General features: G+C 43.6%; 1 long non-coding RNA gene across 5 annotated transcripts in view; it reads left to right on the top strand.

Annotated features, from left to right (window-relative positions):
- The window catches only part of LOC105374894 (uncharacterized), a 154,998-nt gene that overhangs the window by 4,951 nt on the left and 125,641 nt on the right, over nt 1-24,406 (top strand). The window contains exon 3 of one of the 5 annotated variants that reach the window (XR_001743941.2): nt 10,184-11,313. The exons of the other annotated variants lie outside the window; for them this stretch is intronic. This is a non-coding gene — a long non-coding RNA (uncharacterized LOC105374894). Of the gene's footprint in view, nt 1-10,183; nt 11,314-24,406 lie in introns of those variants that run through there. 5 annotated transcript variants of the gene reach the window in all.

The raw sequence follows: 24,406 nt of genomic DNA, 5'->3' as shown, positions 1-24,406 counted from the left end.
CATCTGTGGCAGGAATACCACAAAAGGTAATGTGGTGTTTGTTTCATTGCATCTTATCACCTGGCACATGATTTTGATTTGTTTCATCATGGGAGATGTTAGTTTTGACCACTTCATTAAAGCAGTATCTGCCAGCCTTCTTCACTGTAGTTAACTTACTTTTCCTTTGTCATTATTAAGTTGTAGGAAGGTACTTTGAGACACTGTGAATACATACCTTCTTATCAAACATTTAATGTCTTAATTTATCTATATATTTATATTAGTATGGACTCATGAATTCCTAATTCATTTAATGGGTTATGATCTCTAACTACTGTTATTTATTTTGATACTGAGATTCTCCTTTATTTGACTGGTAGGAACCTTTAAGCTGGACTCTGTGTCCTTTTGAAATGTCTCCTAATTCTTTGGGCACATCTTACTTTCTGGTAGAATAAGATGTTCCAGACTCATTTTGCCCTTTCCTTGCTCAAATCATGGAACCAGCCATTTTTTTTGGTAAGTAGTCCTAGCTCCATTTAGTGGAGAAAGATATTTAGAAGCCAAAATTTGGATACTAAGTATTCTTATTGCTACTGGGTTGTTATTGCTTCTAGAGTCTCTCAGTGAACAGGGCTAGGGACTCTATACTGTTATATATATCTGCATTTACATCTATGTCTATTTCTACACCGATCAATCTATATATTGAAATCCATGACTTCACACCAATGTCTCCAATTCCAACACACCACAGGGTCAAACTAGTTTCTCTCTTTCCATGTTTGTGATTCCCTACTCCAAGAGTGACAAACTTGGCTACCATAATTCTCATCCTATTTGTTCATTTGACTAATCCCCAATGTGTAATCAATTTCCCATTGCTGTAGTCTTCCCCTCCCAACATCCTGCCCTCCCTTGATAGTAGCATCCTCTTGTTTCTAATCGGCTTTCACAGCCATGTCTGATCCAGTCACTGAAAAGGGGATGCAAAAACCTTTATTTAGACCAACAAATCAAAGCTGCCTCTGGAGCTGGGGTGGGGTCATCTTTCATTGGGACACGTGGGCTGTGTATAGGAGAGGTAGATATCTAAAAATAATTCAAAGTTCTCTAAGAAAAAAAGAAGGGAGAATCGATGTTGAGTTAGCAGTAACAGTGCTCACTAAAGAGCTGTACAAACACATTCCTGTTATTGAAAACAAACATGTCAAACTGAAGGCAGACCTCTTGCATCATCTTTCTAACGATGGGAAGCACAACTCCTTGGTGCTAGAGCCAAGGAACAATGTCTGACTGCTGAGAAAAGAACCAATAATGTAAACAGCCTCCATGAACAGCAAACTATTCAGACAAGAATTCTGGAGCAGAGCCCAGGGCTTAAGTCATGGCAGAATAAATATATTCTGAAATCACAGCCCAGCTTTTCCCTATCTCAACCCCCTCCCTGTTCCCTTCCCCATACAATTATTTGGATTAAATGTATGTGAATTCAAAATGTTAAAGACATTGACAAATTTCTGTATGGAAATGTTGCAAAAAGTTCCATTTTCACCAAAGCGTTGATGAATGCGGGCTCCTCCATACCTGGGCCACCTGAGCCAACATGATGTATTAATATTGCCAGACTTACGCACTTTTTCCATTCTGAAAATTGGCACTTGTGGTTGTTTGGATTTGCATTTATTTAATCATAAATAAAGTAAAACATGTTTTCATATGGTTAAAACATCATTTTTGACCAGGTGCAGTGACTTATGCCTGTAAACCCAACATTTTAAGAGGCTGAGGTGGGAGGATCACTTGAGGACAGGAGTTCAAACCAGCCTGGGCAACATAGTGAGACCCCATCTCTACAAAAAATAAACAAAATTAGCTGGGCATGATGGTGCTTGCCTGTGGTCCCAGCTGCTCAGGGGATAGGGAGCTGGGATGGGAGGACAGCTTGAGCTTGGGAGGCTGAGGCTGCAGTAAGCCAAGATCATGCCACTGTACCCCAGGTTGGGTGACAGAGTGAGGTCCTGTCTCAGAAAAAATCATTTTTATGTTCTCTGTGAAAGCCTATTTATATACTCTACTTTTCTTCATTGCATGTATTATTTTTTTTCTTACTGATTTGTAAGAGCTCTTTGTATATTGAGAAAATTACAATATGATCTTGTGATATGAATTGCAAATATTTCACCTACTTTGTTTTTAGGGTAGTTTTTTCTGGTTAACATTTTTTGCCTTTTATGTTATCAGATGTATCAATCTTTTGCTTAAGGCCTTATGACTTGAAGAATTAAATTCTGTATAAAGCGTGTTACTGCTAAGCCCTGCCCCTCCCTGTCCGCATCCATCCCAAGCAGTCTGGTTTCTACCCCAAGATCTTAGCCCTTCCTCTGTCAGGATGGACACTCAGCTGAGGCCTTTCATGATGTTCCTTTGTCATAAACTGACAGCCCATGGTATTCTAGATGCTGTTCTAGGTGCTGGGGATGCAAAGATTCAGGTGAAGAAGGCCCAGCCTGTGCCTCCCAGGAGCTCAGAGTCGGGTTGTGTGAACAAATAAGTTAAATAAAGTCTATGATAAAAGTCTGTACAGGGCAGAATGGAGCCAAAAACAAAACAAAGTCAAGAAAGTTTTTAAAAGGCGGTGACCCTTGATTTGGGTCTTGGAAGTGCCACAGGTTTTCACCAGGTACATCAAGAGTGAGTGGAGAAGGGCATTCCAGGGAGAAGAAGCATCTGGGGTCCAAGTGTGGCTGCCACAGAGGGAGGGCACATCTGCCAGGCAAGAGGGTCCAGATCACAGAATCCTGAGGTTGGGCTTTGCTCTGAGGGCAACTGAAGGGTTTTAAGAAGAGAGAGGTAATCAGGCTTGTAATACAACACTGCTCTTGACAGCAGGGTGGAGGGATGGCGGAGGAATGGCAGAATTAGAGACCCAGAGACCGGATACAAAACCACAGTTCATGTGACACTTACAGAAGGCCAGGACCTAACAGTGAGTAATAGGAGGGTGGAGAGCAGAGGATGAGTGTGAAGGAGGAAGACTAGTGAAGTTTGGGTGTATTAGAAGGAGGCGGTTTGCATATTGGAGAGAAGGAGGCGGAGTGGGGAGTGACATGGAATGCAGGATTGAGGAGGACTCCGAGTCTCTTTCAGTGTGGAAGGTGCTGCTGACACTGAGGAGGGAACACAGGACAAGGTGGTTTAGTTTTGGGCTTACTGTGTTTAAGGAGTCAGTGCGATATCCCAGTAGAGATGACCCATAGGCCGTCACTGGGAATAAACAGCTATGGGTCTGGAGAGAGCCTAGGCTGGAGACAGAGATTTGAATTAGTCATCAGTGATGGGGAGGCCCTGACAGTGGATGGGATGGCCAAGTAGTGGTGTGAAGTGCTGCATCTTAAGTGTGTATTTTAATTTAATTTAATTTAATTTAATTTAATTTAATTTAATTTAATTTATTTAAGGGCAGAGTCTCGCTCTGTTACCTAGGCTGGAGTGCAGTGGCATGATCATGGCTCACCGCAGACTCAACCTCCCCAGGCTCAGGTGATTATCGCATCTCAGCCTCCCAAGTAGCTGGACTACAGGCACGCACCACCACACCCGGCTAATTTCTGTATTTTTTTGGAAAGACAGGGATTCGCCATGTTGTCCAGGCTCGTCTCGGACTCCTGGGCTCAAGCAATCTGCCTGCCTTGGCCTCCCAAAGTACTGGGATTACAGGCATGAGCCACCGTGCTCAGCTTTATGTGTATGTTTTAATTTAACAAATATTTACGTAGCACCTGCTATCGACCAGGTACTTTATACATACTTGTTCATTTAAAACAAATACAACTTTTAGGAAGACACTATTATTACCCTCATTTTGCAGATGAGAGAGCTGAGGCTCAGAGAGGTTCACCAACCTGCCCAAGGTCTTGCAGGTCAAAGTGGCAGAGACGAGGCTTGAACCTAGGTTCTCTGGCCCCAATACTCATGCCCTCTACCACCACACTGTGCTATGCTGCTACTTTATACAGCATGTTGATTGTCAAGGAAGTTTATAGGAGTGAGAATAACTACAACTTATTTTCTCCTGGGACCCAGGGATCTTTGTATAAAGACTCTACTCCCTGCCCTTACACGGAGACATCTATGAGTTGCGGAGGAGCCTTTGATTTATGGGTGAAGGCACCATGCTACCTGTATCTCTTCTCTATGGATGCAGGGCATTGAATGACAGAGAACAGCTGACAGGGAGGGCCACTGGTCCCTCTCACTTCTTGCCAGTTTCAGTTAATTTCCATCTACTTTTTCTACCCCTCCCAACAATGAGTCTTGGTTTTGTGTTTCACCAGGATCCAGATGGTGTTGTAAGTTCATTATTCCCACCATAAATCTTCAAAAAAAAATCACATATCAGTGATAGATAACATATAAAGAGAAGACAACAGATCATAGCCACATTAAAAATCAAGACAAAATTTCTACGGACCAGAAGTGTAACAGAAGCACAAGCCAGGGGGATGTGCTGTCACAGGACTTTTGGATTTAGGTCCTGAAACAGGCACAGTGGATGAGAGTTTATATGCTGCAAAGTCATGGCCACTAAATGTACTTCACATGGGGCAGTGGTCCTGGGCCAGGCTCATTCATGCACCTAGGCAATGGGATTGGGCTCTCCCTGCAAAGGAGGCTGGAAAAAGTTACTGCTGGCTGCATATTCTGTTTCAGGGCCTCTGGCTTATGCAACTACCCAGGGAGGGCTGGAGAAAGGAGATCCAGCCGTATAGCTAGGACTTGAGCCAAGCTGCCTGCTGCGTCAAAGGCAGAATGTGAGGTATCTCACTCACCACAACATGGAATTTCTAAGCCATCAATATAAGTTTTGGTTCAAGACTGGGAGATCTGAGAGAGGGGCAGGTGGAGGTGACCAGCAAACTGCTAGGCAGGGTGGGGTAAGTGGAGAAAGAGGAGAGGAAAGAGGAAGAAGGAGAGGAGAGAGGTGAGAGGAGGGAGGGGGAGAGAAAGAGAGAAGAAGGGGGGAGAGAAAGAGAGAGAGAGAGATTTCCACTCAGTAGGAGCCTATAAACTAAAACTGTTTTTTGTTTTGGGTTTTTTTTTTCATTATTTTTAATTTTATTTAATTTAATTTTATTTTAGTATTATTATTACACTTTAAGTTTTAGGGTACATGTGCACAATGTGCAGGTTAGTTATATATGTATACATGTGCCATGCTGGTGTGCTGCACCCATTAACTCATCATTTAGCATTAGGTATATCTCCTAAAGCTATCCCTCCCCTCTCCCCCCACCCCACAACAGTCCCCAGGGTGTGATGTTCCCCTTCCTGTGTCCATGTGTTCTCATTGTTCAGTTCCCACCTATGAGTGAGAATATGCGGTGTTTGGTTTTTTGTTCTTGCGATAGTTTACTGAGAATGATGATTTCCAATTTCATCCATGTCCCTACAAAGGACATGAACTCATCATTTTTTATGGCTGCATAGTATTCCATGGTGTATATGTGTCATATTTTCTTAATCCAGTCTATCATTGTTGGACATTTGGGTTGGTTCCAAGTCTTTGCTATTGTGAACAGTGCCACAATAAACATACGTGTGCATGTGTCTTTATAGCAGCATGATTTATAGTCCTTTGGGTACATACCCAGTAATGGGATGGCTGGGTCAAATGGTATTTCTAGTTCTAGATCCCTGAGGAATCGCCACACTGACTTCCACAATGGTTGAACTAGTTTACAGTCCCACCAACAGTGTAAAAGTGTTCCTATTTCTCCACATCCTCTCCAGCACCTGTTGTTTCCTGACTTTTTAATGATCGCCATTCTAACTGGTGTGAGATGGTATCTCATTGTGGTTTTGATTTGCATTTCTCTGATGGCCAGTGATGGTGAGCATTTTTTCATGTGTTTTTTGGCTGCATAAATGTCTTCTTTTGAGAAGTGTCTGTTCATATCCTTCGCCCACTTTTTGATGGGGTTGTTTGTTTTTTTCTTGTAAATTTGTTTGAGTTCATTGTAGATTCTGGATATTATTAGCCTTTTGTCAGATGAGTAGGTTGCGAAAATTTTCTCCCATTTTGTAGGTTGCCTGTTCACTCTGATAGTAGTTTCTTTTGCTGTGCAGAAGCTCTTGAGTTTAATTAGATCCCAAAACAGAGATATAGATCACTGGAACAGAACAGAGCCCTCAGAAATAACGCTGCATATCTACAACTATCTGATCTTTGACAAACCTGAGAAAAACAAGCAATGGGGAAAGGATTCCCTATTAATAAATGGTGCTGGGAAAACTGGCTAGCCATATGTAGAAAGCTGAAACTGGATCCCTTCCTTACACCTTATACAAAAATTAATTCAAGATGGATTAAAGACTTAAACGTTAGACCTAAAACCATAAAAACCCTAGAAGAAAACCTAGGCGTTACCATTCAGGACATAGGCGTGGGCAAGGACTTCATGTCTAAAACACCAAAAGCAATGGCAACAAAAGCCAAAATTGACAAATGTTTTGTTTTGTTTTTGAGATAGAGTCTCACTGTGTTGCTCAGGCTGGAGTGCAGTGGTACAATCGCGGCTCACTGCAACCTCTGCCTCCCAGGTTCAAGCGATTCTCCTGCCTCAGCCTCCTGAGTAGCTGGGACTACAGGTGGATGGCACCATGCCTCACTAATTTTTGTATTTTTTTAGTAGGGATGGGGTTTCACCGTATTGGCCAGGCTGGTCTCAAACTCCTGACCTCAGGTGATCTGTCCATCTTGGCCTCAATGACTCTTCTGAGGACAGCTGTTCACCTGCCTAGGGCTGCTACATCATCAAAAATAGCTGCTATTGTATTGAGCCATTACTTCTTTGGATGGTCAAAGATATCAAGGAAAGAAAAACTTATTTAAAAGATGAATAAAAAGTAATTTTAAAAAGGCAGAAATAAAATATCACTAGGTGAATATGGAAAAGAATCAACTTGAAATCCTAGAAATAAGAACAATGATAAATGAAATCTAAAAATTCAATAGATCAAATTGAATGGGAACTCTAGACCAAACACAATTGAAGAGAAAATTGATGAGCTGGAAATATCACCAGAAAGTACTACAGAGTGAAAAAGTAACAAAAAATATGAAAGAGAAGTGAAGAGTCACAGAAGGGAGTTCAAAAAACTCTAATAATCATATAATGAGAGTTCTAGAAAAAGTCGATAATTGATTCAATGGTGGATTGTCATATTTGAAGATACAGATAATCCTTGACTTACGATATTTCAACTTATGAATTTTTTTTACATTATGATGGGGTAAAAGCAATATGCTCCTTAATTTACAATGGGGTTATATCTCAACAAACTCATTCTGAAACTTTATTGGGACATAACCCCACTGTAAGTTGAAGAGCATTTGTATATTGATGAGAATTTTTAAGAGTTGAAAAAAGCCATTGGCTCTTAGGTTAAAAGTGTACACTGAATCAGTAAAAATAAATCCACACATAAATGACTTGTGCATACGCAATGCCAGTGTAACAAAACATTGGATATCAAGAATAAGGATAAAATATTAACGAGTACTGGAAAAAAAACAGTAAATCTATACAAGATGATAATTAGTATGACATCAGACATTTTAACAATGATAGATTTGAGGAGACAATGAAGTAATATCTTCAAAGTGCTGTTGGAAAAAATGGACAACCTAAAATTTTATACCCAGCAAAACTATTATTTACAAATTAAGGCAAAATAAATTGTCAGACAAACAAAGATTAAATGAGTTTACCACTTACAGTTTCTCACAGAAAGAACTAATAGACATGAAATTCCATGAGACAAAAAGTGAACCAAGAGAGAAAGTACAGGATCTAAGAAGCAATGATGCACACAAATAAAGTACTTGGTAATATATATTTTACAAAGATAATCAATGAGAAAAAAGCCTACTTTTTGTGTGTACATTAAAAAAAGAAATGTTCAACATTTAGACAGCATTCACAAGGAAGAGGATGTTCAGTGAGTAGTTGAAACATGCTGAGATTCTTGTCTTGAGAGGAGAATAAAAACGCTGAATAAATTTAACTTTCTTATAAATATTTATGGTTAATTATGATTGCTAAAAATCAAGGAGTAAAACTTAAAGAACAGACCACAATATATCCTTCCAAAGCAGCAAAAGTTAAGAAATAAAGAAAACATTATCAAAGTTTGAGAAGTTAGGAAAGGATAAAAGAAGAAGAAAAAGGAAAAACCAAAGCCAAAACCACAGGAATAAGATGGTAGAAATGTCCCCAAATAAGTCAGTAGTTAGAATAAATGTAAATTGTTGAAGCCTTTTTACTTCTTCTTTTTATTTTTTCAAGCTACAGTCCTCAATAGATGCAGATGAAGGCCTTTTAAATGACATAGATGTTCAGATTTTATTTTTATTTTTATTTATTTATTTATTGAGACAGGGTCTTGCTGTGTCATGCAGGCTGGAGTACAGTGGCACGATCTCACTGCAGCCTCAACTTCCCTTAAGCAATCCTCCCACCTCAGCCTCCCAAGAAGCTGGGACCACAGGTGAATGCCACCATGTTTGGCTAACTTTCTGTATTTTTTGTAGAGATCAGGTTTTGCCATGTTGCCCAGACTGGTCTCGAACTCCTGGGCTCAAGTGATCCTCCTGCCTCGGCCTCCCAAAGTGCTGGGATTATAGGTGTGAGCCACTGTGCCCAGCCTAGATTTGAGTTTTAAAACTGAAATTCAGCTTTGTGCTATGTATAGGAGACATAGTTAAGAAATGACATAGAATAGCTAAAAATTAAATGAAAAAAAGCTAAATCAGACAAACACTAATAAAAAGAAAACTGACATAGCAAATTTAATAGCAGATCAAATAAATTTTAGGTCAAAATTTTATAAATAGGGATAAAGGGGAACATTTATGGCTGGGTGCGGTGGCTCATGTCTGTAATCCCAGCACTTTGGGAGGCCCAGGCGGGCGGATCACTTGAGGTTAGGAGTTCAAGACCAGCCCGGCTAACATGGCAAAAAGCCATCTCTACAAAAAATACAAAAATTAGCTGGGCATGGTGTTGTGCAACTGTAGTCCCAGCTACTCAGGAGGCTGACGAAGGAACATGACTTGAACCTGGGAGGCAGAAGCTGCAGTGAGCTGAGATCGCGCCTCTGCACTCCAGCCTGGGCGATAGAGGAGACTCCCTCTCAAAAAAAAAAAAAAAAAGAAAAAAAAAAGAAAGAACATTTGCAATAAGAAAAGAACAATCCTGCAAGAAGTAACAGATTTGTATGTTCTTAGGATAACCTCAGTATTTATAAAGCAAAACCAAGAGAATTACAAGGAATATTTATAAGGAAATAGATTAAGCTGGTAAAAACATAAGGATATAAAGGATTTCAATAGCATAATTAAAAAGTTGGTCAAATTAGATAAATGGAGAACTCTGCACCTAACAAAGTGATTATGCATTATTTTCAAACACACTTTGGATATTTATAAAAATTGACCCTCTTGATAAAACAATCACATCTTCTGACTATAATGCAGTTAAATTAGAAATCCACAGTTAAAAAAAGAGTATATGACAAGAGATAAATCTATATATCTGAAAACCATAAAACCAATTCCCCAAAATAGTTTTTGGGTTAAAGAGGAAATCATAATAGAAATTGGCAAGGGAACACTTGTTGCTTTTGACATGTGTTATATACGTATTAACTTGTTACCTTGCTAAAGTAACAGCTTATCTTATTACCTTGACTTATGCTTGAACAGTTCCCCTTATGTTTTCATTTTACCTCTCTACCACCTCTCTAATTGTCAAGATTTTTGCTTTTATTTTGCTCAAAAAACATTTCTCAGAAACCCTCTTTACTTGTATAGCTTTTGTGTTTTTATCCTTGTTCTTTATCCTCAATACCTTCTGCTTTTACATTGTAAACTTACCGTCTTCACGGTTTTTGGCTTTCAGTGCTAACCTTTGTATTTTTAACTTTTAAATCTCATAGACATCTAATCTTTTACGTATCTATTATTATCGCATTATTCCAAACTCTTTTAAAATAATAATTATATTTAAATATTTTAGTCCTTTCAAAAGTTTTTCTTCCCTAACCTTTCAAAAATCTTCTCCAAATTTCCTACCTTGTGGATATTATTTTACCCAAGTGTTTTTATTCTGTTAGCCCCCTTTTCCTTAATGTCTAGGATAAGCACCATCTTTGGAAGCACGGCCTCAAGATGATGACATGGAGGGGACTCACACTTACAGGTAGGGGAGCTTCAGGTCTGCCGGCCCTCTCCTCCCTCCTTGTCACCCCTCAACCTCTGGGCTGCCCTTTGGGCTCATAACAATGGATCTCAGAGCCCAAGGAGGTTGGGCTTCCACTCTGGGGGACTCTGGAAGCTCCTGGGTTAACTACTCTCAGGGCTCTGGTTTTCTCCATGTAGATAAAATACTTGATTTCTTGGAACAATTTTTCTTTCTCAGTCTGAGGGCTCTGATATATACATAACCTTTGTATTTGGGCCATCGACACCAACCACATGCCGTGAGGCTGGAGGGAATGGAAGGAGAGCAGGTGGTTATGACTGCAGACCTTGGCCTGACCCCAGGGAGCGCCGGGGTGGTTTTATCATTTCCTGGGCATCACAGCACTGTTTTCCAGGCTGGGCTTCTGTACCACTTGCTGTTATACCGTATTTTCAAATTGACCCACCTTCCTTTCCAGTGGGAATATGAACATTTTTTCTCTTGATGCATGATTCTCCTTAGCTTCCTCCCCTATTATGGAGTTCAAAAAGAATGTGGCTAGGGCAAAGAAGTTTCTGCTTTCGGGGTTAAACATCAGGCTTGCTGCAACTCTGCCAGGCAGAACGGCTTTCTTCATGTGGCAAGACCCAAAGTGGGCAGCCAGGTCCACCTGGGGACAAGGGCGCCAGACTCACCTCTCACTGGAGGCTGGGAAGGATTCTCAATGCACAGGAAAGTTCTCTGCCCCTCATCCATCTCCCAAAAAAGGAAGAGGACACACTTCTGGAGAGGTTAGAACTCTTCAAAGAAAACATGCCACACGTACTGACGACGCCCTCATCTTCACACAGCTGCCCCCATCATAACTTCCCTTTGGTTTTCTACAGCCTGCCACTCAATCCTTAAGAAAGAGTTCTTTTGGGTGCTTGGGGTTTTCAAAGCAAGGACCCTGATATTTCGGTCTTTATATAAAAACACATCATTGGGGGAGACCTCAATTTTAAAACCTGCCTCTTCCCATTTTCAAGGAGGTTTATATTACTTGTTCCTCTGGTTATCAAGGAAAATAATTGAAAAGAGAATAAGTGCACTCTGACTTCTGTCACTTTTAAGCTATGCAGATGACAGGAACATCTTTTTTTCCAGTTTTGATTTGGCTTCCTGGCAAGCTTCTTGTTTTTCTTAACATATACATTCTTTAAGTCAATATGCGTGCTCTCAGCTCATACATATGATCCCTGGTGATCTTTTAAGTGTCTATTCAATCTGCATATCCCAAGGCAGAATTAATCATCCGTGGTAATCTGAAAGTCAAGATTGGGTCATTTATTCACTTAACAAATGTCTATTATGTTTCCACTATGAGCCATATTGGAATGCTGTTAGAAAATGGGTGAATTGCATTCCTATGAGCCATTCTTTCTGAGGCAAACGTAATAGCCTAATGGAAAATTTCTCTCCATACTTACCTAATGGACAGCTAATATATTCTACACCTTCTCCAGGGCCCAGAGCTTTATTGTCTTCTATGCCGGGACCCATCCCAGTTAGACTTCTTTAGGGGGTTGCTTTCACCACTCTTCATAGAATATGACAGTTAGCAAAATGCCTTGCAGTGGGCACTGAACACTGAACACTGTCAAATAAATGTGCATTCCTCACTAAAAAGGCTTTGCTTTCTAAAGATTGTATTCAATACTTTCCACAGCTTCCCTCTTGCGTTACGGGTGACATTTTCAAAGTGCAATGCCAAGTCAGGGACCCCACTTTCTTAGGCTTATGGGAAGGATGTGAAGGTGCCTGTTCTGTGACCCTAGCAATTGTTGGGGGCTGGAAAAATGAGGAGAGACTGTGTTCACCTTACTAGCAGGATGAGGAGACCAGAAGTAATTCACCAGGACAGCAGAAATGGTGGAGTTTAGCATGGTGGTGGTGGCTCCCTTGTACACTACTAAGAAATGATCCCACAAACCACCTTTGGGATGAGTGGGGAAGTCTTCAATTCCCTGCATTAGAGAGACACTCTTGCCCAGCCAGCTTCCTCCAGGTGATGTGGAATGCCAGGTTTGGGATTTTCATATGCTGCTGCTGCCAGCTCAGCTGCGTCCTCCCTAAGAACAGGGCGTCTGAGACACACCCACTCCCCAACCCTGCCGAATGTCTGCTCTTGAAATAATCTGTTTGCAATTTCATTCCACATTTCTCCTGATTTTCCCTCCTCTTCCCTAACTTCTCCTCTCTGAACAATGTGACATAGAGCAAAGTGGGTCTCAAGAAATGGTCTAATCCTACTATGCTCCAGAAACAGTTGTGTGCTGGTAGGTGTTTAACAACCAGATCTCCAGGAGAAAAAAAGCTCTGATTTGTGGTGTTTGTTAACTCCCATGGTGCAAATACCGCCACCATGGCTGATTTCAAGCTACCACTCTCCATCACTGCACACAGAGTTGGGAAGAGATGCATGCAGTTGACTCTGGAAGGTCAGTGTCGGCGGACTGCAGCACAGCACTGTGACCTCCATTTGAAGAGGCCCCACGAGGCAGAGTCTTCAAGCTGGACACCGTGGGTGCTAGCGGAGCCATTCAGAGCTGCAGATTGGGTTTTCTAGAAGCAGGCCCTGAGATGGAATTTGGGGAGGAAGCAGCACTGGGCAGAGGGAGAAGCCAAACTGTGACCCCGTCCTCTAAGGGCCTCGAAGCTAGCCTTTGTGCTCCTTCAGTCTCAGGACAAGGGCTCCTCTGGGAGAGGTGCAGCTGAGGCAGACCCTGTAGGAGCTGGCAAGAGGAGGCTGCCTAATGACCACATGCCCCACACCTGGGCAAGGAGTCCTGCTTCAGAGGGAGAGCTGGGTGGCACTGCCCAGTGTCTGGCATGTCCAGATACACCCAAGTTGGGGTGTGGAGCCCCTACTGGAGCTTTCAGCGGTAGTCCCGGCCACCTGTGCCTGTCCTCCGTTACCTGTAGCCTTGCTCCTCACCTGGTCCCTGCCTGTCCCATTGCTCAGCTTTGCTTGTAGCTTCCAAGTCTCCAGCTCATCCTACTCACGGCTGAAGGTCCTGGCAGGCTCCCTCCTGAATCCCACCCAGGTTAGACTCCGCTTTGTCTGCCCAGGTTGGACATTTCTGCCTGCATCCTCGGGGCATCTGACCTCAGTGCTTGGGCCTCGCTCCTTGGTGCTGACAGCTTGTGGTGAGCCCGCCCTGCTGGGCAGACAGGCTGGGGTGCCTGGGCATGGCGCTCACTCCCCAGGGCCCCTGCTGACTCTGGGTTGGACCCTGGCCCCAGGCAGGATGCAAGGTCTGCTTTGTGCACAGGTGGGGTGGACAAAGGCGGCAACTGCACCTCCTCAAACCAGACTGAGGAGAATGAGTGGAGCTGGTCTACTATGCAGGAGCTGGAAGTGACCTCACAGCTCCTGCAGGCTCCTCTCTTCATGTACTTACAAGGACACCACAATGCAGAGTAAATACGCAGCTGGTTAGGAGCAGAGCTGGGAATAAAGCCCTGTCCAGAGCCTTTTTATACATCCTTCTCCATGACTGAACTACAGTCCCTTCTTTCCCCTTCCTCGAGACAGTTGTGTGTTTAGAAACGGCCTCATTGGCAGATTTTCTATTCTCCTTGGTTAGCTACTCGGAACACTCAGCCCCATTCTGGCAGGTGGCCTCTCTGTTTGAGGAATTATCCTGCCTGCCAACTGGGTGCTGGATTTACATGCTAGCTGGGCCGCAGGGAAATCATCTGGAATAGCTAAGGGGCTCATTCATCTCAGACTTCTCAGCCTCCAGGGCAGATGTGCCTGGCGTGGATGCCTTCTGCCCTCACAGAACTTGTCCTGGGGCCTCAGCCCCTGCCTCCAGGGAAGCAGAGCCTCAGGGCCTTGCTGATGAGCTTCATCACTGGCCCAAGGCTCCCATGGCTCTTATGGCTCTTATTTCCACTTTATCCTCTGTGAGTGCATTCTTTTTTTTTTTTTTTTTGACGGCATCATGTTCTTTCACCAGGCTGGAGTGCAGCGGTGCCATCTCGGCTCACTGCAACCCTCCGCCTCCCGGCTTCAAGTGATTCCCCTGCCTCAGCCTCCCAAGTAGCTGGGGCTACAGGCATGCACCATTACGTCTGGCTAATTTTTTAAATTTTAGTAGAGATGGGGTTTCACCATGTTGGCCAGGATGGTCTCAATCTCCTGACCTCGTGTTCTGCCCGCCTCGGCCTCCCAAAGTGCTGGGATTACAGGCGTGAGCCACAAGGTCCGGCTATGCATTTTCTTTATTATTACAAAAAAAAATTTCTGGTGTGACAGGGTCTCACTCTGTCGCCCAGGCTGGAGTGCAGTGGTGCAATCATGGCTCACTGTAGCCTCAAACTCCTGGCCTCAAGTGATCCTCCCAACTCAGCCTCTGGAGTAGCTGGGACTGCAGCTGTGCAGCACCGTGCTTGGCTAATTTTATTTTGTAGACACAGAGTCTTGCCATGTTGTGCAGACTGGTCTTGAACTCCTGCCTCAGCCTCCCAAAGTGCTGGGATTCCAAGTGTGGGCCACCATGCCTGGCCATTGCACTCTGTTAGCAAACATGGTACCTAAAAGAATGACGTCATCCTGTTCTACTCTTTTAATGTGATCCTTTAGCGAACATTTAGTTAGTTATTTTTCAAAACTTTCTAGCTTTTATCTGTAATTGTTAGTTTCAGTCTGTTTTCTGTTATTTCAGAGTACCTTTGTTACCTTTATAATTTACTCTCTCTGCTAATTTTAGTCAAATTATTGAACTGATTTCCCCCGTAAATGATGAGCCAGAGGTCTAGGCTCCATGGTGGATGGGGTATCAGCTGCGGGGGCAGTTTCTGTCCTAAGCAAGGAGCCGGGGAGAGCCTGGGCTTCACTCAGCTGCAGAATACCCCCTTCTGGCCCTCTTTCATGGAATTCTCTTTCTCTCCTTGGGTGAATATTTTGATTCAAAGACAGCTAGCAAGGAAGGGTAGGCAAAGCTCCTGTAACCTACCCAGAGTGGGTATAAAATAGTTACATACCAAAATTAGGGCGTGGAAGGGAGGTGGTGTGTGCTGTCGTCAAATGAGAAGCACCGTGGAAACAAGGAAGCCTGGGGGGAAGCTAGAAAGGTGTTTTGTTGTGGGGGACTGTATCCAAACAGGAAGTTGCTTTCTTCCCACCAAAATGCGGGGGTCATATATTTCCCCTCCTGCTGCAGAATCAGAGGCCAGATCAGAGCTCCAGGCTCACAGCCACAAAGCCAAGAGCATGAATAGAGAGAGAAGCCATTTCCCAGCTAACGAGCAGCTGCTGCCCGAACACTGAGGAGCGGGCAGCTGGAGGGAAGGAAAAGCATTGTGCATTTCAACAGCACATGGGGGCTTGCTTTACCCAGAGTCTAGAATTGTAGCTGATGGAAACGCTGCACTGACAAACAGAGCTTTGAAGACTGGCAGACAATGGGATGAAGCTTTCTATGTGACTGGTATTAAAAATCCAAAGAAGCATGAGACAGATGGAAAGGATCGATGTATCCAAGTCAAACGAAGAGACGTTGACCCCAGCCAGGTCCACTTTCCTGGTGAGGAGGAATTGACAGTAACAGAATTCCAGTGTGCAGAAAGTGTAGCTCCGTATGTGAAGAATTATGCTCGGTTAACTCTACACAACTGTACACGCATAGGTTCAGTCATGCTTAGTGAATTATTTTGCCAAAGAACCTGTATTAATTTGCTATGGTTGTCATAACAAAGTACCACAGACTGGGTGCTTGAACAACAGAGATTTATTTTCTCACAGTGCTGGAGGCTAGAAGTCTGAGATCAAGAGGAGGGCAGGGCTGGTTTCTCCTGAGGCCTCGCTCCTTGGCTTGTAGTTGCCATCTTCTCCCTGTGTTTTCACTCGTCTTCCCTCTGTGTGCATCTGTGTCCTCATCTCCTCTTCTTGTAAGGACACCAGCCGTATTGGATCAGGGCCCATTTTAATGACTTCATTTTAGTTTAACTACCTCTTTGAAGACCCTCTCTGCAAATACAGTCACATTCTGGGAAATTGGAGGTTAGTTAGGACTTCAGTCTATGAATTTGGAGGGACACAATTCAGCCCCATTTCAGAACCCTTCCTGGTATTGTTAAGGATGGATGTCTGGTCAGGCTATTCCCAGGGGACAGTTTCTGCCACAATCCTGGAGTACAGGCTATGCACAGCAGATAGACAACGCCCCCTTAAAGAATACTACCTTAGGAACTAACTCCATTAAGCTGGACATACCAATGGACACAAGGCCCAAATTCCTCAAATTTGGGAAGTGGTCCTGTCTTGTGATAGCACAATAAGACAATGATTCTTACACTTCCCACAACCCAGTCCCTCGGTGAGGACATACGTGGTCTAGAATGCATTGTCTTCATTCTCTGGCCTCAAATCCATATTCTATGTGAATGTTTGTTGCATTTAACTATGCAATTCTTTGCTCAGGGGCTGGGTTTTCCATGCCCAGGGCTGACATCTGTGAGTGTAGTGGAGCACCCAGGCATAACTGGATGACGAAAATGAGGTGGCAAGTCTTGCTAAATGGAGCTCCGACATCCATTCTCTGCTCACTGCTAGCAGAGCCCTAATTTTATTTGGGTTTAGGAATATGTCCAGCTTAAAAAGCTATACCTTTCATCCTCGCATTCCAGGTAAGAATGATGATGCAATACAGTTCTGGCCAGGGAGGTAGGAACAGAGATGACTAGGTGGACTTCCAGGTTTCAGGAAAGTTTACAGAGAGCTCAGGCAGTCCGTTCCATTTGCTTGTTGCCATTTCTCCTTATTCCTGTCTAGAACAGGGATGTGATGGCTGGAGTACCAGCAGCCACCTTGTAAGCATGAACATGAAGATGGTAGAGTGGTGATCCAGACAGAAACTGGGTTCCTCATGACCTTGGGGAACTGTCACACCAGCTCTGGCCTCCTCTGAATTCTCTTCACATGAGGGGAAAAAACAAGTCCCCAGGGCTGCTGGCCTCTCCAATGGCTCAGCCTGGAGCACAGTTGTGAATGGCCCTTCCTGGCATAGGTCACCTAGTGGCTCTGTGAATCCCTGTTTTATGTAAGCCACTATTTGGGGTTTCTATTACCCACCACCAAACATTATTATTTAACTGATGCAGGTGAGTTGCAATTATTAGAATCATTCTATTATTCTCCCTAGATTCAGGTACAGGATCTTCTGAAAATCAATAGGCTCCCCCTCCACCCATCAGAAAAGCAGATGAGAGGACTTGGGCACACCTGGGTTCACATATTCTCTCATCATTTATCAGCTGTGTGACCTTGGACAAACTTTTTTCAGCTCTCTGAGCCTCGCTGTCTTGTGTGCCATCATACAGGGTTGTTGGGCTGATTTAGTGAAAGAATGTATGTAAAGCACCCGGCTTGGACCCTTAGAACCTTGTACACAGGGCTTGGCACATGGCCCTCCTGCTATTAGGACATTACTTAACCCTGCAGAGGAAGACTCAAGTCCAGGTGTCCAGCTTACTCTTCCCCCAGGTGCAAGTCTTCCTGGATCTCTCTCTGGCTGCTTGTAGGACATTTCCGGTTAGCTCTTCTGTTGGCCTCTTCTAGCCTGGTCCCCAACCACCCTCTCTCTGATGATGCCACTATCTATCCTATCTCTCGTTCTCATGCCTATTGGCTTCACTCACTATACCATGGCACAGTGCGTCATGCCATGCTATGGCACAACACACTATGCCTTGCTATGCCATGCCACCCCTGCTTCTAGTGGTTTCCAAAGTCCTTCAGAAGGGGATCATCCAGGAGATGCGAAGTTGTGTAGAGACGCGGTTGAAGCCAGCCTCTTAGGGCCAAGTGAACATGATAATGCAATGCTTGGGGCTGCCTTTCTACCCTTTCACTGTGGAATCTCTCTAGAGTGGCTCAGGAGAGCGCTTTGATGTAGGGTCTGGCCCAAGGGGAGCTCATTTGCCAAGGCAGGGAGTGGGGCAGGAAGGTTTGCAGGCAGTGAGCACTGGGCTCTGGGTGGGGTGCAGCAGAAACTCAAGTCAAATTTAGAAACCAACTGTCATGTGTCCACCAGGCCAAGTAGGAAAGGATTTTTCCACACCTGAGTCTGGAAAATGTGGGGCTTCAGTGCCTTTCTCTAGTTGCATGAAGTAGAACTTTCCCTAAGTTCTGGGGCAGCAGCAGCGCAGGTCAGGCAGAGAGAGACACTCACCCCTAATTCAGTGAACCACAGCTCACCCTGTAAAGAGGAACTTCCTCGGTAAGCAGGAACCCTCTCTTCCAGACTTCCTGATATACAACAAAGGGTGGACGACGGGACAGGCTTCCAGGGTCCTGGCAGCAGGCTGGCGGGTGAAGGCACTTATCCTGTGCCTTCACCATGTCACAGCTGGTGCAGGGAGTCCCAGAGAAAAGTAGCGGCACTCCTTTCTGGGACGGAACTGCAGCTTGCTGGGCCCTCTCGCCACGCCTCCTCGTTCTTCTCTGGACTTAATCAGAGCGTCTCTCTATGCAAGCATCTCTCTCCACTATCTTCACCTGGGAGAATCACTACTTTTTGTAGGAAACAAAAATTTCCCTTTATGTTAATATCAAACTATATACTAATATAAAACTTTAAACTTAATATGTTACAGTTCAGTGTTTAATTTAAAAAACCTAATCAGTTTTTACCTTGACATTTATTAATGAGGGTTCTATTTATAACTATATACCTATATCTATTTATCTATACACAGGTATACACATAAACATTTTTAAGAATCAAGGAATCAATTTCTCTATATACATCATGCTTGTTTTCTTGTTTCCTTCACATAATATTTATTTTCTCAAAAAACAAAACCCAACAGCAACATACTATGCCATGCCATGAACAATGCCACACCATACTACGCCGAACGACATCAGGCCACACTACCCTAGACTATGCCATACCAGCGCATGCCACACTAGACTATACCATACCACACCCTGCCACACCATACCGTGCCATGCCACGCCACATACCAGCTGGTGCAGGGAGCCCCAGGGAAAGCAGGGGCACTCCTTTCTGGAATGGAGTGGCGGCCCGCTGGGCCCTCTCGCCATGCCCCCTCGTTCTTCTCCAGACCTAATTGGAGCGTCTCTCTTTCCTTCCTAGAGCTGCCAGCAAAGCACTCCAGAAGTACACTCGCAAAACTGTGTATGAATGGGAGTGTGCATGAGTGTGAGTGCACGAGAGTGTGAATATGCGTGTGTGCGTGTGAACGTGAGTGTGCGTGAGTGAGCATGAGTGTGAGAGTGGAAGTGAGCATGTGCGAGCATGTGAATGTGATGGATGAGTGCAAATATGACTGTGAGTACGAGCATGTGTGTGTGTGAGTGTGAATATATGTGTGATTGTGCATCCTCTTATCTGCTGTGAGGCCCCCTCTGTTTTCTGGCTCTGCTGACCCTCTTGGCCTCTTCCTTCTGCACGGTGCCATTATCCATGGGCTTCGTTTCATCTCTGGTGATGGAGTCCCTCTGTTGGCATCTACAGGTGAATTTTGGGCTTGATGTCTTTTCCCAATCCCAGCACTGCTGAGGCCTGCAGAGTTCTGGGCCAGTGTGGTGGTCGGTCCAGCCATGCTGCTGTGGCCGCCCTTTGGACTCTGCCGCCTGCTCCCGATAGTCTTCTTGAGGGTCACCATGATCACTCAGTTTCCAAGGCCCATGAGCTTAGTGATAACTTCTCTCCACACCTGCTGCCGCGACCTTCACTTGTTTTCTCTTTATCAGCTTATCTCTTGTATGAAGATGTTGCCAAAGCATTTGACCTCATTCTTCTCTCTTTACACTAGTGTTCCTCAAGCTTTTAAAAACCCATGCCTCTAATAAAAAATCAAGTAAATATGGATTTAAAAACACATTGGAACAATGGCTGTGGTATCAAACTATATGCATTCCCTGTCCCCCCGATCTCTGGCCTGCAAAACGTCGTACTGTGTCGTCTGAGGGGTGTGTACTCATTTTCTTCTTCTGTGCTGTGCTACATTTCCAGAATCACTGCTCAGAACTCTCTGACAGGGAAATCTTACTTGGAGATAATGGGTGTTGTAAGCCTACGTTCGGAATAAAATAAATCAGGGTTCACATATGCCTCCATCATTTGTCAGCTGTATGACCTTGGACAAAATACTCCAGCTCTCTGAGCCTCACTTTCTTGAGTGCGTTATCATGCAGGTTGTTGAGAGGATTTAGTGAGAGAATGTATGTGAAGCACCTGGATCCTTGTACACAGTGCTTGGCACATCACATGTTCCTCCAGAGGAAGACTCAAGTCCACACGTCCAGGGCTTGCTCTTCCCTAGAGTGCAACTCTTTCTGTATCTCTCTCTGGCTGCTGCAGGACATTTCTGGTTAGCTCTCCTGTTGGTCCTTTTAGTTCAGTCCCCAGCTGTGCTCTCGAAGCCACAGTCCATCCTATCTCTGGTTCTCCTATCAGCTCCACTTACCATACTATGCCATGCCATGAAAAGATGCCACACCATACTACACCACACCACATCAGAAGACACTATCCTAGACTACATTATGCCATACCAGAGAATGCCACACCAGATTATACCATACCACACCCTGCCATGCCATACCATGCCATGCCATGCCACAGCATAGCTGGTGCAGACAATTGCCCCAGATTCACCCTTGCTCATTCTTGGGACCTTGACCCTGTCCTCCAGTGTCCATCCTGGCCTCTGTCCCCTTTGATTGGGTTAACCTATTTGAACTCCATTCTTGGCTTCTAACATAAGTGTCCCAGCTCTTCTCCCTCCTTGGAGTTTGGAATCCCCCCAGTATTCGGGGAAGACACCCCTCCTCAATCCCTGGGTTGCAGAACCTGGAATCATCTTCTGCAGAATGGAGAGATAATCCCTGTTCACCTCTCCACTATCTCCACCTGGGAGAATCACTACTTTTTGTAGGAAACAAAAATTTCCCTTCATGTTAATATCAAACTATATGCTAATATAAAACTTTAATATTTGAACTTAATATGTTAGAGTTCAGTGTTTAATTTAAAAAACCTAATTAGTTATTACCTTGACATTTATTAATGAGGGTTCTATTTATAACTATATACCTACATCTATTTATCTATGCACAGGTATACACATAAACATTTTTAAGAATCAAGCAATCAATTTCTCTATATACATAATGCTTGCTTGCTTGTTTCCTTCACATAATATTTATTTTCTCAAAAAACAAAACCTAACAACAGAAAAGTATGCTCTACAAGAAAGTTGACCTTTTGGCAGCCATGTTGTCATGATTTATGTGTCTAGTTTTCTTCTTCCTCTTAGCACCTACAGCATCTTGACACACACACACAGTGTCCTTGACTGAATACACTTTGTAAGGGAAACCTTACAAGTTGATGGTGCCTCACAGTTTCTTCCTGACTGCTGCAGACCCAGGAGGAGTTGGGGAGTTACTATGATTGTGAAACTTTTTAGCTACTGCACTTGCTATTCCTTTTTCCTAGTATTTATCCAATGATGTCAACTGTGAAGTGGGCAAGCATCACAGCAGACCAAATACAATAGGATTATTTATATACAAATAGAGGTTAAGTGTGTATATAGGTGTGTATTTTTATTATTTGATGTGAACCTAGCATTTTATATATGCTTTACTATAGTGGCAACTAGCATTTACTAAGAATAAGGGCCCAAGAGGCTGTTTGCCAGCATAATTCCCAGGAAGAGGTTCTGGTAGGGACCTTGCCCAGAAACGGCACTGCATGTTACTATTTTCCAGGTTACCTTTTCTTGAAATCTTCAGAGTCATCTGCAACTCCTCTCTCCACTTTTCATTCATCCTTTTTTTAGTGAGAAGTTCAAAGTTGGTTGGGAAGAGATGTGCTGTGGAGAAAGTCAGTAATCCCTCTTGAGGGAGGTTTTGCAGAAGGGGGATTGTTGAGCTGAATCTTGAAGGGTGATGGAGAGTGTGATGGTTAATACTGAGTGTCAACTTGATTGGATTGAAGGATGCAAAATATCGTTCCTGGGTGTGTCTGTGAGGGTGTTGCCAAAAGAGATTAACATTTGAGTCAGTGGACTGGGAAAGCCAGACTCACCCTTAATCTGGGTGGGCACCATCTAATCAGCTGCCAGTGTGGCCAGAATAAAAAGCAGGCAGAAGATCAAACATTGGACTCCAAGTTCTTCAGCTTTGGGACTCGGACTGGCTTCCTTGCTCCTCAGCTTGCAGGTGGCCTATCATGGGACCTTGTGATCGTGTGAGTTAATACTCCTTAATAAACTCCCCTTTATATATATATCTATCCTATTAGTTCTGTCCCTGTAGAGAACTTGGACTAACACAGAGAGCTTGGCAAATTGGGTAGGCATAGTGTGAAGAAGGCCTTCCTCATTTACAATGCAAATAGTCATTAAATATACCCTTCCTCTTTTTTTTCTTGGAATCACTTCTATGATTTGTTCTATTTCTTCCTTATCCATGACTGCCCTAGTTCAGGCACGACGGTCATTCCTCAACCTTGGGCTACAGCCCCCGAACTCACTTCCCTGCCCTTTCGTGCATCCTTCACCTCCTTCAGCATCTCACACAGTCTCTTGTGCCTCACAGTGTTTACTGGATAATGTATGGGCTAAATAAGTCATCATGAAATGCTGTCCCCCTATTTCTCTCTGTGATCTATGATGTACAGGATGACATCTATGCTCTGTATTTCTGGCGTTCAATGTCTTCTACCTCCTTACCCTAACCTGTGTTTCCCATTACTTTTCTGAACCAGCTCTCCATCCCTGCCAAACAGGTCTGCTTACTCTCTCTTCAGTTCACACAGAAAGTTTGGACCTTTGTTCATATGCTTCTGATTTCTCTGGAACTATCCTGATCCTTTTTGGGTTTTGTTTTTTTCATAAGGTTTTAGGGTCATTAATTTTTTTTTTTTTTTGAGTCTCACTCCGTTGCCTAAGCTGGAGTGCAATGTTGCAGTCGGGGCTCACTGATACCTCCGCCTCCCAGGTTCAAGTGATTCTCCTGCCTCAGCCTCCCTAGTAGCTGGGATTACAGGTGCCAGCGACCATGCCTGGATTTTTTTTTTTTTTTTTTTTTTTGCATTTTTAGTAGAGATGGAGTTTCACCATGTTGACCGAGCTGCTCTAGATATTCCTGACCTCAAGTGATCCGCCTGCCTCGGCCTCCCAAAGTGTTGGGATTACAGGCGTGAGCCACTGCGCCCAGCCCATTAGTATTTTTAAATTGACAGATAAATAATTGTATATATTTATTGTGTACAACATGTTGTTTTGAAATATGTGTATATTGTCACATGGCTAAATGGAGATAACTAATGTATGCATTATCTCACCTACTTATGCTTTTTGTGGTGAGATGTAACTTGATCTTAAACAACCTTCAAGACTCAGCTCAAGGTCTCTCCCCTCCACAGACCTGAAATCTAGTTTTCTGTCTTTCATTTCTAATCTTCTGGTTTCTCCAAATGGCTTCCTTTCTTAAACTCCTAATTTGTGTTATTTATGAATTCACTTTGCAATTCATCATTTCTGTCTTGTAAGTAGATTTTATGATTGCCTTGTCTTAGAGTGAACATATTTCAATGGGTATTAGTATAATGGAAAGTTTGTAAGCTCCCTGAGAGCAAGGATTTTGTACTTATTTGTATGCCCTAGAGCAGTGTTATTCATGCTGGTGTGCAGATCAGTGTCCATCAGCAAGCAAGATCTGAAATGAGAACACAGCAAGAGAGAATAAGAGTTGAGTAATGTTCCTAGTAACAGGACATTGGCATGGCATCCAAGCATGTGTCATGGGCTTTCTTTTATTAAACAGGGAATAGACCAGATTGGGTGCTGTTGAATTCTTGTGGTGAGTCCCATCTGGTGCAAACTGCATACAAGTCACTCATAGTAGGGCCACACATCACACTGCATGGATTGGGAATGACAGCAGCTGCACCTTCACCTTAGATAGTTTGGTCAGCAGCACCTGTAGAATGGAACCCTGCACACTGCAGGTGCTCCCAAGGTGCTAGTACATTGATAAACACTACAGATAGGACACATTAATAGCTGTGTTTTTCTTTTCTATCCTTGTATAAAAATCAGAAGTATTAATGTAGTTGCAATGCAAATTCAATTCACGTTAGGTATAC

This window comes from Homo sapiens, chromosome 6 (assembly GCF_000001405.40).
Source record: "Homo sapiens chromosome 6, GRCh38.p14 Primary Assembly".
Lineage (NCBI taxonomy): Eukaryota > Metazoa > Chordata > Mammalia > Primates > Hominidae > Homo > Homo sapiens.
Note: the sequence above shows the minus strand (reverse complement) of the source record. Positions and strands in the feature narration are given on the sequence as shown.